At 36.9% G+C, this 17,047-nt stretch overlaps 1 protein-coding gene across 4 annotated transcripts in view; it reads left to right on the forward strand.

The window, feature by feature from the left end:
- ZFAND3 (zinc finger AN1-type containing 3) overlaps positions 1-17,047 on the forward strand; it is a 334,898-nt gene that overhangs the window by 253,143 nt on the left and 64,708 nt on the right. For 3 of the 4 annotated variants that reach the window (NM_021943.3, XM_011514790.3, XM_017011171.3), the window contains one exon: positions 9,523-9,588. The exons of the other annotated variant lie outside the window; for it this stretch is intronic. In NM_021943.3, the coding sequence (NP_068762.1) occupies positions 9,523-9,588 (66 nt within the window). The remainder of the gene's footprint in view (positions 1-9,522; positions 9,589-17,047) is intronic. 4 annotated transcript variants of the gene reach the window in all.

Genomic DNA, 17,047 nt, shown 5'->3' on the forward strand with positions numbered 1-17,047 from the left:
AAACAATAAGATGGCACCTTAGTGAGGAATTTTTAAAATTCTGAAATATCAGTATAATCCCTTCACTACACAATTAAAATTGTGACATTTTCAACTATTAGTTGCAAAGAGAGATCCTATTATTAAGACCTGACAGTGTTCACTTCTGCCTGTAAAGCAAGACAGTTGGACTAAGGTAATTTCTGTTTAGTGTCACTCATCATATTCCAGCTGTGGTACAGCTAGCTATGGGAAAGGCTCAGCAAAGAGGCAGAAGAGAAGGGCACCGGTGTTCCAAGTTGTTTTTACAAGTCCACGCAACAGTACCTGTGGCCTGAATAGATGTCTTTTTTTCATTAGTCCTGAAGCCTCTTAGGAAGAACATGCACCAGTCATTTCCCTTTCTAAGGAAAGTGTTGCAGCCTTTTTTCAGTAGCTGCTGCAGGCTGAGATTTATGAGAATAGTCTTGCTAGCTGAACTATGTTTGAAAAAAAAAAAAAAAAGCTCTTCCAGTGCTGAGTGGTGTCTCCATTAATGTTGTTATGAGAATCATGCTTGTGTTGATGGTAAAATGCAAATGATGCAAATCTAGAAATCGGAGTTGAGCCTTAGTTAAGCCTGTAAATAGTCAAAAGTGAAGCCTAAATTGGAGAGGTGACAGCCCCTAATTTTGTATTCGTATTAAATATGCTTTGTCACAAGAGAAAAACAAAACAGTGTCTAAAATTAGTACTGATTTTATTAGCCAGGTGATATTTTGACCTCTAATAAAATGGGGATTATTCTATTTTTATCCCCAAGAGGGTGATGATGTCTTAGAATGTCACTGTTAATCGCTGTTGGACTTTATCACATTTTGAAGTATCAGTGGTAAGCGTTTGTCAGCATCTTAACATATGGAAAGGTATAGGATTCTAGGTGAGAGATTACATCTGAAAAACTAAAATTGAACATATTTAACTGCTTACCCAGAATCCTTTGAGAGTTCCATGAAACATGTTTTTACTCTTCTTACATACGTAGCAGAAATGGAATGTCTTGGTTTGAAATTTTGACTAGCTTATTCCACTATCCCTTACCTTTATTTACTTAAATATTCACATTTTGTTGAGACTGGGAAACCCTTTTACTGTTATTTACACTTAGTACATCAGTTGGTTTCTGCAAGACTAGAAATAAGTCAGTTGGCACGTAAGGAGTATGGGGAAATTGGATCTTATATTAACCTTTAGGTTCACTGGTTCTATACCAGTGGTTCTCAAATGTGGTCCAAAGATCCATAGAAGTCCCCAAGTCCCTCTTAGGGCATCCATGAGATCTTTCCTTTTCCAACTACATATTTATGTAATAGTGTGCTTTCTTCATATTCATATAAATAGATTAAATACAGATATAGACATGAAAATCCAAGTAGCTTCCTTTAAGCCAGGCCACTCTCATTATTTTTTAAGTTGCAGTTATTTTTCATAAAAGAGTAAGTTTTTATGTTGACATCTAATTATTTTAATTTTAAATGAAAACATTTTTGTCAAGTTATAATTTCATATGGGATAAATATCAATGATGTAAGATACATAAAAAAAGTTTCTTAGTGTCCTTAGTAATTTTTAAGCTTTAAAAGTTCTCAAGACAGAAAATACTAGCATGAGGACTACCATGCTAGTAAAGAAGTTACAGAAGAAAAGCTTGGAGTTAGCAGAGGTTGGTTCATGAGGCTAAGAAAAGAAGCCATCTCCATAAAAGTGCAAGGTGAAGCAGCAGTTGCTGATGTAGAAGCTGTAGCAAGTTAACAAAAATACCTAGCTGAGATCGCTGATGAAAGTGACTACACTAAACAGCAGATTTTCAAAATAGCGAAAATAACCTTCTATTGGAAGAAGATGCCATCCAGGACTTACAGGAGGAAAAGTCAGTCCCTGGCTTCAAAGGACAGTATGACCCTCTTGTTAGGGGCTAATGTAGCTGGTGACTTTAAGTGGAAGCCAGTGCTTATTTATCCTTCTGAAAAATCCTAGGGCACTTAAGAATTCTGCTACATCCGCTCTGCCTGTGTTCTGTAAATGGAACAACAAAGCCTGGATGACTGCACATCTGTTTATAGCATCATTCACTGAATATTTTAAGCCTACTGTATAGACCTACTGCTGAGAAAAAGATTCCTTTCAAAATATTATTGTTCATTGACAATACACCTTGTCACCCAAGAGCTCTGATGGAGAGGTACAAGGAAATTTATGTTTCCATGCCTGGTAACACAGCATTGATTCTGTAGTCCATGGATTAAGGAGTCATTTTGAGTTTTAAGTCATAATTATTTAAGAACTACATTTTACAAGGCTATAGCTGCCATAGATACTGATTCCTCTCATGGATCGGCCAAAGTAAATGGAAGATCATCTAGAAAGGACTCACCATTCTAGATGCCATTAAGACCATTTGTGATTCATGGGAGAAGGTCAAAATATCAACATTAACAGAAGTTTGGAAGAAGTTTATTCTAACCCTCATGGATGATTTTGAGGGGTTCAAGACTTGGGCAGGGGAAATAATTGCAGATGTGGTGGAAATCACAAGAGGAGTAGAATTAGAAGTGGAGCCTGATGAGGTGACTGAATTGCAATCTCATTATAAAACTTTAATGGATGAGGAGCTGCTTCATATGATTGAGCAAAGGAAAGTGGTTTCTTGAGATGGAATCTACTCCTGGTGAAGATACTGTGAACATTATTGAAATGGCAACAAAAAATCTAGAATATTACATAAACTTAGTTGATAAAACAATAGCAGAGTCTGAGAGGATTGACTCCAATTTTAAAGAAGTCCTGTGGGTAAAATGCTGTCAAACAGCATTACTACAGAGAAATCTTTTGTGAAAGGAAGAGTCAGTTGATCTGGCAGAGTTGGGTTTTTTTGTTTGTTTGAGACAGAGCCTCGCTCTGTCGCCCAGCCTGGAGTGCAGTGGCGCAATCTCTGCTCACTGCAACCTCCACCTCCCGGGTTCACGCCATTCTCCTGCCTCAGCCTCCCGACTAGCTGAGACTACAGGCGCCCGCCACCACACCCAACTAATTTTTTTGTATTTTTAGTAGAGATTGGGTTTCACCGTGTTAGCCAGGATGGTCTCAATCTCTTGACCTTGTGATCCGCCTCCCTCAGCCTTGCAAAGCGCTGGGATTACAGATGTGAGCCACCGATCCCGGCCTCGTTTTCTTTTTTTAAGAAATTGCTGCACCTACCCCATTTTTCAGCAGCTACCACCCCCTGATCAGTTAGCAGCCATCAACATTGAAGTAAGATCCTTCACTAGCAAGAAGAGTATGAATCACTGAAGACTCAGATGATCATTAGCATTTTTTTTAGAAATAAAGTTTTATAAAATTAAGGTATGTACATTGTTTCTTGGACATCATGCTGTTGCACACTTAATAGACTCTACAACATAGTATAAATATAACTTTTATATTCATTGAGAAGCCAAAAAATTTGTGCAACTCGAACTTTATTGCCATATTTGCTTTATTACAGTGGTCTGGAACCAAACCCATAATATCTCTGAGGTATGCCTGTAATTGTTTAGGGGAGTTAAGGTGGAGTGGTAATACGATTTTGTTGAGAAAGACACCCTTATTAGCAAAATAGATAAGCTACCAATTGCAACTTTTGACCCACTTTGAAAATTCCCTTCTCGTAAATTACTAATTTAGATTTAAATAGTGTGAAAGATCATGCACTGAGTTAGGATTAGAACTTCTAACTCTGGGAGATTAACACTTAGATTCCTTAAAAAGTTTTGTAAATGGTTTAATTTGGAAGTTTCATTTGGAGAAATAAGAGGGCTATTATCTGTGTGTTGAAGAATTTCTGTAAACTTAGATTCCAACTCACTATATGTATCCTTGTTTTTAATTGATGGGGCTTTTCAAACTCAATTATATAGACAGCCTAGGTGTGTCCTTTCTGATTAAAACAATTCATGAATCCCAGGTTTAGGGTGAGGTTGGAGATTAGGGTTTTCTTTTCTGAAGAGATTACTTTTCTTGTGCATTCTACTGTGTACCTGATACACATTAAATACTGTCAATTCTTTGCTATTTTAAATCTCCATTTGTATATTGAAGGTAAAAGAAGGAATATTTAACTGCTCAAGAAATGTAGATTGTTTGAATTTTTTGAAGATAATTTTACATTCTTAACATGGACACATCAGGAAACAGTGCAGTTTGTTTCACTATCTCCATTGCATAGATTTTTTGAGGTTTATTTTGTCCTTTTTTTTTTTTTAAGAGGAATCCTCATCAAGAAATTCTTGATAAGATATCCTGAATCTCTCTCTGCCCAGGGAGGCTTAGGAGGAAAAAAAAAAGATATTCTGAATCTCTACAGAAGGGAGAGAATTGTAGCCCTTTAATTTGTTGTCCAGAATTACCTTTAGAACTGTGAGCCTGGAAAAGTGAGATGCTGCAAAGGTAAACAATGTACAGATTATGATAGAGTGGAATTGACAAGCTGGTTAAAAACGGATGATGCATTTTTAATTAGCCTACAGTGCCTTTAGTTGATAAAATAATTAGATACTTTTATGTAAATGTCATGTTAAGTAAGAAAATTGAAGTGTTACAGATCTACAAAAGGAATGGCTATTTTTGAGTATTAATGTTTTACAGTTACTATGAAAGGACTGATAGTAGAATATTTGATTATTGTGCTTCTGGCAATGTTTAGCTGACCAATTCCGTGGTAGTCTATTTTTTTCTAATTGATGTGCTGTTATTTGTGTTGAAGGTTTTTAGCACATGATTAACTGCAGCAAGTGAGGGCTAGTGGAACCAGAAGCCAAAAATAACCAGTCGTCACAGCTATTTTAACAAAACTTTTCAGAGTAGATTGTTGATCTCTATTTCAAGATTAAGAAGAAATGGTATTTTTCTGTATTTACTCAGCTGTGGATTTTGAGTGCGTGAAAGGCTAAATGCAGCTATCCTCCAAACCACTGTTCTTGACTTCCTCCTTGAGTTGTAGTCTTCAACTAGCCGATGGGATTGACCACTACATGAGTAGGTAGCCCTGGGTTTTTTGACATGCTCAGTAACTCTATAGGAGACTGGAAAAATATAAGAATTCTGGTGCTTCACTTTGAAATGTGTGTGTTGATAGTTAATGGGGTATCTTTATTTACTTCTGTTTTTGCAGGTTACAGTGAAGTGAGTATGCAGATTTGACCCATGTCTTCAACTTTATAGGGCTGCAGTCAGTACTCTTTCCCCGGGAAAATCTACTACCATATTGCAAATGCTGTAACAATTTCTACTTGTTGGGAATACAGCTGAAGAATATAGTTTCATGGCTTTTATGTGGAATTGCAAATGTGATCCATAGTGCTGCATTATGTATGACATCTTTAATACAAGAATAGAAACATCCCTAGAAGAAAAGGTAGAATATTCACTCTTCTCTAGTCACAAACCAGTTACCAGAGGCTTTATTCACATGCAAACTCCAAACTTTAAATTGTTGAAACTTGACATTTTTTAAGGAAAAAGTCCTCTGAATGTAATATCAAATGCAAAATGTTAGTCTGTTAATAAATATCTCCGGATAATGAAGAAACTTGAAAAAATTCAGTTAATTTGCTTTAGCAAAAGAAAGCAAAAAGCATTTATGATGATTGGCTAAAAGTTATTTCAGGTTGGTTAATCTTGATATCATCTGGCTCAGAATCCCAAGAACCTGTTGTATTAAGCAAGGAACTTTGTAATTTTTTTAGACATTAATAAACCCAAACTCAGTTGCCACTGATACAGGCTAGAAGATAATGGTTTTAATTGTTCTGTGCTTAGAAATACATCTATTGTCCCAACCTCAGTCCCGGTCAACACACACACATACGTACTACATTTATCTATAGAACCCACAATCATGAAGAGGCTTTCTCACCTTTTTCTTTAGTTACTACCTCTGTCTACCCTGTTGTTTGGAAAGAAGAAGAAAGGTGAAAAATGGGAGCCAAGTTTACAGTGAGTCATGGGGACTTACGCCAGCCACACTCTCCGGCATTAGAAAGTCCAGAGAGGAACTTTGACCCTTAATGTCAACTCTCAAAACTATTTTGTTTGCTGCAACCAAATGTTACCCATGTTATATATTTTGTTGTTGTTGTGGACAGAAACCTGAAAACATTTTCTGTGAGTGGCCCTTAATTTCCTGCATTGATTTTAACAGAGTTGATTTGGAACTACCTGTAATTGTGTGGATGACAGCGCAATTAGTGTAGAATATATGTGTGGTGCTGACATGTTCCTGTTCTGGGTTTTAAAGTGTTTCATAGGTTGTAGTTTGCCAGACCAAATTTAACTCTAAGCTCTCTGTTTATAACATTGCCCAATTATCAAAGCTGGGATATATTATTACTGCCAGTTACTCTTGCTGTCAATTTGTCTTGGCTCAACTATGGTTCCATTTGTACTTTACTGTAATATAGTGAATACATTGGATTAGGTTGTTAGTTTAACAAGCTCTCTGGAGAACACCTTCATGATGATGCATGTTGAGATATGCTAGGAAGCCTTAAAGTTTATTTGCAGAAACCTACAGAAATGTATTCACTAGAAATTTTTAAAAGAATAAACTCTCAACCTAAAGACAAGGTAAAGATTCTCTTATTTGATAATCCTCTAGAACATATGTAAATATGTGTTAATTCATGAGTCTCAGCCAGATTTCTTTAGGGATTTTGATTTGACAGTTTCTCCTTTCTTATATAATTCTACTGGATGAATTATTTTATGTGCTTTAAAAAAAGCATTTTGTTAGTTAAGCTGTTACCCTTGTGCACTGTGCAGCTCATGGTGTTATGGGAACTTAGTGATCTTGGCCAGATACCGAGTTAGGGGTAATCAGAAATTAGAAATGACTGGACTGTTAATATTTACATTGTGCTCAGCTGGTTTATAAAAGTACACTAACTTCCTCCTATGTCCACCCCAATCTCTTACATCAAAATTTCCAGGGTCAGGGCTTGGGAACTTGTATTTTAAAAAATGATCCCCAGGACTTTCTGGGTGTTGGGAATGTTCTCATATTTTAATCTATGGTTGTTACATAGTGTGTATGTGTTAAAATCCCTCAGGATGTACATTTAAGTTCTATACACATCATTCTAATATTGCATTCTCTCAAATGTTACACCCTAATTTTAAAAGTTCCTCCAAAAAAAAAAAAACACCACATGTTCTCACTCATAAATGGGAGTTGAACAATGAAAACACATGGACACAGAGAGGGGAACATCACACACCAGAGCCTGTCGGAGGGTGGGGGTCTAGGGGAGGGATAGCATTAGGAGAAATACCTAATGTAGATGACAGGTTGATGGGTGCAGCAAACCACCGTGGCACGTGTATACCTATGTAACAAACCTGCACATTCTGCACATGTATCCCAGAACTTAAAGTATAATATATATATATATATTAAAATATATAATCTGTTACTCTTCTGATTAAATAGTTCGCAGTAGTCACTTAATGAACGTTATTAAGCATTCACTGTCTATGTAGCAATGACCCAACAGTAGATAACAGTGTGATTCTTGATCCTTGGGAACATAAAATCAAGTGGAAGAGAAAGTGATAATACATAATATAAAGTTTTATGGTTTATGACATCTTTCTGTACAGATGATTCATCAAAAGTCGCTTATTGGCAGTTTTACTATTTCCATTTTTTTGTTTGTTTTGTTAAAGAAACCGAGGATCACTTATCCAAGATTACTCAGCAAGTAGGGAGTAGTTGTCAGACTTTAACTCAGTCTTCTAAAAAGCCTATACTTTTCCAGAAATAAGAAGGCTTCAGTTAACAAAAACAAAGAACCCTTACATGGAAGCAGAAGTTACAGCATTTTATGGAGCTATAGAAGCCAGTCCAGGAGGGTTTTTGAGGATGTTGAGGCTGTGTTAGCTTTGCATGTTTCTCATTGTCTCTTCTTGTTCCCTGTTTTCATGTCGCAGTTTACCATTTGAACCTCTGGAATTTTAGTCCATTACACTTTATCTGGTGAATGTGGCATTTGTAGAAAAATGTTCAGTTGAAATTACTCTGCTCTCTGGTCTGCCTTTCGAAACTGCAATTTATTCTTGCCTCATTTTCAAATTCTTGCATTTCCAAGTAATACAAGCCAATGATGAATGTTCTCCTTCCTCATTACATATAGCCTTTATTACCTGTTTCATGTTCTTTGGCACTCGGCCACTTTCTATCTAGCTATTTATTGCTGTCATGTATTGTTCTGCATTTATGTACAGAAGTTTTTTCTTTTTTTTTTTTAAAGAAAGATTATGATCTCCATGACTGTGTGGTGACACATAGTAGGTATTTGCTAAGTGTTCTTTGAAGTCAGCAGTGCACTTACTTGGTTTTTTCCTCTTTTAAAATTTCCCATCTGTGTCTTCTTACACTCACTAAGGGTTGTTGCTGTTATGGCCTTGTTATAGTAAAGAGTAAGCTAAGAGGGAGCTCCTTAGGTGGGCTCTCCAAGTCCTTAAACCCATGAATCTCGGCACTATACACTCTAGGAACAGGTCTCAGAGCTCTTTCATCTTTCCCTCCTTTTCAGTGAGTAAATTAAATGATATGAATTATTGTTGTAGGAGATACACAACTCTGCCAAGTAACCATCTTTTACTTCTGCTAGTCACAGTCACCTGGGGACCCTTTTTAAAATAAATGTGTAACATTTGCCTATGTGTCCTATTCCTTTATGATCACCACTGCCCATCCCAGGGCATGTCATTGGGGAGTGTTGGGGTATGTATCAATATCAACCTCAGAATGTGTTGAAGGTCTTGATTTTGCAGAATGAAATTATTGATTTTCAAGCCTTCACTCACCCAACAACTATATCTCTTGCATACTCTTGAATTATGCTTATGCATCAGATCTCTGGGCCCACCAAGATTCCATAAAGGGCCTCTCGATATCATATTTCTTATAATGAAACTAGATATTCTTCCTTGGTCAGCAATGCTTTCTTTATATATGAAAATGATTCTTATTTCTTCTGACAAGCAGTTTATTGTTTCTTAAGGCCCCCTCCCCTTATTATGTAAGGCTAGTTTTTCAGTAAATTCCAAGGTAGAGTGACTGCTGAGAAACCAACCTAAGAGAGAGTACTCTTGCTCATCGTTCTGTGGAAGATTGCATCTCCCCAAACTTGTGGGTAATTTCCTCTCACCCAGATCTGAATTCTAATTAAATTTTTATTCTTTAACTTGTTAACATTATGTGAGACTCGGCTGTTTTTTTTTTTTTTGTGTGTGAAAAGCATGTTAGAATGTAGAAAGACTATGCATCTCTGTAGACTAAATTGCTGAACTAAAATTAGGTCCTTAGAATTAACCCACCACCACCGTCTTTCCTACTACTTCTCCTCGTTATATTTTCAGGTTGATCTTTTCCTTTTTAAAGTTTCTCTTTACTCAGGAAAGCAACTATATGGGCATGTAAAGGATGTGTCCTGACTGATGCACCTGCCTTTCTGTTTCTAGGTGGGCCATGCACAGACACAGCTCATGTCTCATTAATCACACCAACAAAAAGATCCTGTGGTACAGGTATGTACGTCATTCTTATGTGAATTCATCCTTATTTGAATTCTTCACAGAAGTTAGCAACTGGTTCTAACTTGGTGTGCTTCTCAGGGTACTCTGATTTCTTCCGTCAGTTGTGAGGTGATATGTGCTTAGTATTCACGGCGGAGTGTCAGCAGAGGTCAGAATGATGTTTTTGGGGAGTCAGATTGACTGAGTAAATGCAGCTAGATCCAAGAAGGTGGACATCAAAATATACATAATTTCTAATATCTGAAGAACGTTATTAAGACACAACAGAAATGCAGATCATTGCCCAGTTTGTAGCATGTAACTAATCTGAGGGCCAAGATTGAAATTTTAATAGTTTTAATGTAGAAAATCAGTGTTTTAAATTGACTATTGTAGTATCCTACTATTTTTGGATAATTATTTTCTGTCATTCGATTTAAAGCCGTGGATATACTGAAATTTCTCTTCTAGATGCATAGAATCCCAAAAACATCTTTGTGCATCTGTGACATTTTTATTAAATATGAAGTCATGAATCTTGTGGCTCTCTAAAGAGCAGTCAGAATGCCCATTGTTGCCTTCGCCTGTAGCTTAATTTATTTTAAGCGATATTTGCCTTTTCTAATAATGCTGTCTGCTATTTAAAATATCTCAAGGATTATATTTGGAAGAGTCAAAATAATTATATTGTTTTTCTAAAGGTCACAGAGTATTTTTCATAACTTAAAAAATCCTTGTAACTCCCCAGCAGAAGTAGCACAAACTGTTTCCATGTACAAACTTAACACTGCAACCTCAGCTCCTTTAAATGCTCATAATTTGATGCTAGGCCTCAGTCAGGCCCATGTTTGCATAGTTTCAAAGTAACATCCAGGCACTGAATTCTAAGGAACTCAGTTGTACTCTTCTCTTCCAAATGACCAGCTTTGAGGTAGGGTAGGGGGTGTGAGATAGTCTTGGCATGTTCTTATCCCTCTTGTGCCCGGTTCCCAAGCTCCACTAGGTAGAGTAGATTTCTTTTTTTTACTGAGGTAGAAAAGAGCTGTGCCTGAAGTGAGATAGACCATCCTGATTTTAGCCAGCGGGAAGTCAGAGAGCCAACTACCTGCCCACTCCAGCCAGAAGCTTGAAAACATTCAGTGTCCTTTGATTTGAGGTCCAGCACTTCAAATGCACAGTACTTTAGTCTTTTGTTTTTCCTTCCAATCTTGGCCCTCAGAGAAGGCTTTACTGTTAAGCACTACCACTATGTTCAGGTAGCAGTCAAGGAGTTGAACCTTGAACACACTGGGTCATCCTGAGAGGTTTGGGAAGGAGACTCATGTACTCAGATGCTGAAACAAGCAGGAAACTCTGGTGAATATCATTTACTTGTGTCCATCTTCTAGGTAGATCTGTTTCCTCCTCTCTGATCCTATACTATTTTGTGTATCTAAAACTAATAATGATATTTATTGTATGCTTACTACATTGCCAGGTATTATTCTGTATATTTTATATACATGGTAATTTAATTTTCAGAACAGTTCTTCAAGATAGTTATTATTTTTCCTCTTTTACAGATGAAAAAAATGTAGGCACTCATAAACTTAAGTATATTTTCTGAGATAATATTGCTAGTAAGTGATGGAGCCAAGACTTGGACACGGATCTTTAAGACACTAAAGCCTGCGCTGTTTTCCCCTATATCATGCTACTGCTTTTCACATTTTATTGTAATTGTTTCTTCTCCTAACCAGACTGTGGAAAAGCAGACTGTTGAATGAAATATGGAAAAAATGAAACATATATTTGGAAATATAGCATACACTAAAGTAGTTTGAAAATGTGAGTTCTAAAATCACATCTGGTTTCAGATCTAAGCTTAGCCACTTACCAGTTGTGATTTTAAGTAAATAAGTTAACATCTCAAAATTTTGTTCTTCATCTGTAAAATGGGATGATAAATCTCTCAGGTTTGGTGTAAGAAAAAAATAATATGCTCACCTAATAGACCTTCAATTACTGGTAGTTTCCATCATCTTAATGAGGATTATATCTTTATAGTGAGCACCCATTAGATGGTGTTGATAAATACATCAATGAGTATTTTAGGCAGAAAGAAGAGTAAAGTAGAAGTACTGGCATTCTTTGCTGTACTCAGTTTTATTAACTGATTTTATATTGATCACGTTCTTTGTTACATGTCAGTATTATAGTGGCAGTTGAAGGTGGTAATATTTTTAGATCTCCGTTAGTGAAATGACAGGCATTGAGCTCTCAGTCATACCTTTGTAGGCCTTCGTTGAGGTGAATACCTACCTCTTAACTAGAAAAAGATGGAGAATTTCTTGCTTGGAAGGAAATTAATGCAATGTCCAGGTCATCTCCTAAAAAGCCTGAAGGAAAATTGAGATTTCTCAGCAATGGACATTAAAGGTCATCAAGTTAAGCCAGCTGTACTTCTTTTCAAGAAGACTGTTCTGTGCCCTCTTAGGCTAGCCAGACTGCCTCAGCCTTAAATATTGGCCCTGACTCTAAAGGACAGAGCTTCCTGATTTTGAGAGGTAAATTGAAATGATTTATTTTGAGAACCACAGGTTGACTGTCTTTGTCTCCATCTTTCTCTGTGTCCTGCAGTCAGCAGGTTGCCCATGGTGGGGATTTCAATCATTTTTCTTCTGAACCACCAATTGTTATTGTTATTTTGCTGGAATGTTCTTTGTAGCCTTTATGTCTAGGCTCTTCAAGTTAGGATTCATATCTATGACATGTGCTGTACAGTGCTTCTACTGTGAGGTAGTCTCCCAGACAGAAACCACATGGGCCTTCAGGCATAGATGGTCAGTAAATAATTACTTTACAGTGGTGTCATTTCTTAGGAGACACAGAGTGAGACCTTAAGTGAGATCTTACCTACCTCCTCCCATCCAATCTATCCATACAAGGTTGGACCTAAAGCAGCCTTGAGCTTAATAATGATGTGTGTTAGAACAAGGATACTGAGATTAGACTAAGGTGGTTCTTTAAGTCAGCCGTCTCTGACAAAGGGCACACAATGTACTGTCTGAGGTGTGTGGAGAAAATAGCAAAAGCTCTTTATCTCAGCCTTAATTTATATTTTGCAAATTCACTTTATTATATGTGTGTGTGTTCATACATATACTTTTATTTATTTATTTATTTTTATTTTTTAATAAAGACAAGGTCTTATTATGTTGCCCAGACTGGTCTCAAACTCTTGAGCTCAGGCAGTCCTCTCGCCTTGACCTCCCACAGTGCTAGGATTACAGGCATGAGCAACCGTGCTCAGCCCATACATGCAGTTTATAAACAGCAAATACACACACAAATATATACATATTAAAGGTACATGGCCAGTTAGATAGGACTATGCAGTTTAAAAAGGTTAATGACTTCTTCAGTAAACAGATCATTTTCTTCTTAGTACTTTGAAAATTAGCTCTAAGGATTAGCATTAGACCCATTATTATGTGGTTTAGTAAGTGAAGACCTCAGTGATTGATTAATCAGTCACCATTTGTATTTCAAGCAATTACTGTTTTGATCAGGTGAAGGGTATTGTCATATTTTAGAGGTGGGCAGCAGTGTAGAGTGGTTGGTCTACAACTATCAAAATGAGAGAGGCAGCTCTTTTTTAAGAAATTGTTTTGTGATCACTGTGAGTCTACGAAGCAGATTGCAAAAAGTAGCTGTAGTAGCAAATGAAAGATCAGTTTGTCTTTGTGAGATAGATGGGAAAGACTTTTCTTTATATGATGGCTTTTAGCCAGACAGAATTATTAACAGTTAAACTCATTGTAATCTTTAGATTAAAAAAAAATAAAAAAGCAACACGATGATCATTTTGGTATTTAAACAGAGAGAAATTAGATAGATGAAGGGTGTGTGGTCGTTCCCACTCCACCCCACCCCTACCATCTTTGTAGAGTTCTAGGATCTCCACAGTCAATGAAGAGTTGAAAAGTACTGCCAAGTCCTAGGTTGCTTTTGGTTAGAATGTGTGAGTTAAAGCACATCATACCTTCAGATTACTAGACAGAGTTTACATTTCTTCAGAGCTCAGAATGTTTTCCACATGTTCCCTTGTTAATTCTCACAACATTCCTGCCAAGAACAAGTATTTTGTGAAGGAAAGAGATCACTTTCCTTGGCAACAAACTACAAGAAGATTCCCTTTTGTCCCTCATCTTTTCTAACCGTCAAGTTATACCTTCAGCTAATAAAATACTGTAACCGGAGTTACAGTCATCTCCTTTAATTTTATTTGGAAGGTATTTGGATATTTAGCTGGCTATCTTCATGACAGTATATTTTTATGTTTAAAGTGGGCACAGATTCAATGCAATCCCTATCAAAATACCAGTGACATTCTTCACAGAAATAGAAAAAAATCCTAAAATTTATATGGAACAACAAAAGACCCAGAATAGACAAAGCTATCGTAAGCAAAAAGAACAAAACTGGAGGAATGACATTATGAGACTTCAATTTATACTACAGAGCTATACTAACCAGAACAACCTCAAACTGGCATAAAAAGATATGTAGACCAATGGAATGGAATAGAGAACCCAGAAACAAATCCACACACCTACAGTGAACTCATTTTTGACAAAGGTGCCAAGAACATATACTAGAGAAAAGAAAATATCTCCAATAAATGGTGCTGGGAAAACTGGATACTCATGTGCAGAAGTATGAAACTAGACCCCTGTCTCTCTCCACATACAAAAATAAAATCAAAGTGGATTAAAGACTTAAATCTGAAACCTCAAACTATGAAACTACTACAAGAAAAGATTGGGAGAAATATCCAGGACATTGGTCTGGGCAAAAATTTCTTGAGCATACCCCACAAGCACAGGCAACCAAAGCTAAAATGGACAAATGCGATCACATCAGGTTAAACAGCTTCTGCACAGCAAAGAATACAGCTAACAAAGTGAAGAGACAACCCAGAGAATGGGAGAAAATATTTGCAAACTACTCATCTGACAAGGGATTAATAACCAGAATATTTAAGGAGCTCCAACAACTAAATAGGACAAAATCTAATAATCGATCAAAAAAACAGACAGAAGATTTGAATAGACATTTCTCAAAAGAAGACCTATGAATGGCAAACAGACATATAAAAAGTTGCTCAACATCATTGATCGTCAGAGAACTACAAATCAAAACTACAATGAGATGTCATCTCACCCCAATTAAACTGGCTTATATTCAGAAGACAGGCAATAACAAGTATTGACAAGGATGTGGAGAAAAGGAATTCCTTGTACACTGTTGGTGGGAATGTAAATTATTACAACCACTATGGAGAACAGTTTGGAGGTTTCTCAAATAATTGGGCTCCCATATGATCCAGCCATTCCACTGCTGGGTACATAGCCAAAATAAGGAAATAAGTATACTGAAGTGGTATCTGCACTCCCATATATATTGCAGCACTATTCACAATAGCTAAGAATGTTTCCAGCATGAAATGTTTCCTTGCTGTTAGGTTACTGGAAGTTTATATGATATTTTAAAAATTGATTCAGAAGCTAAAGAGTGTTGGTATTAAATCAGAAGTGGCCCCATAAATCTTAGTAATACCTACACTTATGTGTTTTATCTCCTGGTAGAGTCAATATTCATGGAAACAATATTCATTGGAAGCAACCTAAGTATCTACCAACAGATGAATGGATAAAGAAAATGTGGTACTTATACACAATGGAGTATTATTCAACCATAAGAAAGAATGAGATCCAGTCATTCTTTTTTTATCTGTTCCATCATTTGCAACAACATGGATGGAACTGGAGGTCATTATGTTAATTGAAATAAGCCAGGCACAGAAAGACAAACGTTGTACTTTCTCTTTTATTTGTGGGATCTAAAAATCAAAGCCGTTGAACTCATGGACATAAAAAGTAGAAGGTTGGTTACCAGAGGCTGGGAAGGGTACTGAAGGGTTGGGGAAAGAGGCGGGGATGGTTGATGGGTACCAAAAAAATAGAATGAATAAGATTCACTATGTGATAGCACAACAGTGTGACTACAGTCAATAATAACTTACTTAAAGAGTGTAATTGTATTGCTTGTAACTCAAAGGGTAAATGCTTGAGGGGATGGATACACCTTTTCATTTTATAGTCCTTTTATTTCTGAAATTAAAATAAGAAAGAATTCATAGGCAAGTTTGTGGACTTGACAGTATTGTCAACAGACTTTTGCTCCGCTCTATCTATATTCACTTTTACTCTTCTTCCAGCACATATGTTGAGTAGATAATATTCTCTCTGATAGACTTGAAAAAGGATGGTTAAAACATGCTGTGTGTATGTTTAAAATGTGATTATAATTAGTAGAGCAGCAAATAAAATAACTATTTGTGAGGCCATAAGGGAGCTGTAGAAGTGTCTGAGATTAAAGCAGATGAGACTAAGAACTGTTCCATTAAATATCAAGGCAGTTTTTCCAGAAAGTGTCATCTTTTTACCCTATAAGAAGCATGTTAATTCAATTTTACTTTATATCCCTCTCTCCCTCCCTCCCTATTTTCGGTCACCTGTTTTCCTTTCAGTGTGACAAACAGTGACATGAACTAGAATAGCTTTGTATTGTTCATTGTTCTCTTTTTTCCCCCAAAAAAGAGAACAGTTTTTCCCTTTTCTTGACTCACTTCTTTTTTTATTTGAGATAGAATCTTGCTTTGTCACCCAGGCTGGAGTACAGTGGTACAGTGGTGCGATCTTGGCACACTGCAACCTCTGTCTCCCGGGTTCAAGTTATTCTCCTGCCTCACCCCCACCCCCCAAGTAGCTGGGATTACAGGCACCTGCCACCACACCCGGCTAATTTTTGTATTTTTAGTAGAGACAGGGTTTCACCATGTTGGCCAGGCTGGTCTTGAACTCCTGACCTCAAGTGAACCACCTGCCTCGGCCTCCCAAAGTGCTGGGATGACAGGCATGAGCCACCACACCCAGCCTTGACTCACTTCTTTTGTACAGCCTGCTTATGATATTGTTTCTTCTTGCAAAGACGAGAAGAAAACCCCCTTCATCTGGAAGTTAAGAGAAGATTGATGTGCTGAACACTTTCACATCAGTGTTTGGAAGCCAGTTAAAGGGAAATGTTTCCTTGTTGTTAGGTTACTGAAAAGTTTATATGAGATTTTTAGAATTGATTCAGAAGCTAAAGGTGTTGGTATTAAATCAGAAGTGGCCCCGTAAATCTTGGTAATACCTACACTTGTGTGTTCTGTCTCCTGGTAGAGTCAATATTCATGGAAACATTTCAGCCAGTACATTTAATCCTAGAGAGTTGTGTCAGTGGCTATGAACTGTATTGTTCAATATTACACACTATAGTTGGCTCTTCCAAGGAGGACTTCACATCTTCCTCTGCTCTGTGAAGTTTTGTTTTTGTTTTTGAGAGGGAGTCTCGGTCTGTCACCCAGGCTGGAGTGCAATGGTGC

Source organism: Homo sapiens, chromosome 6, assembly GCF_000001405.40.
Source record: "Homo sapiens chromosome 6, GRCh38.p14 Primary Assembly".
NCBI lineage: Eukaryota > Metazoa > Chordata > Mammalia > Primates > Hominidae > Homo > Homo sapiens.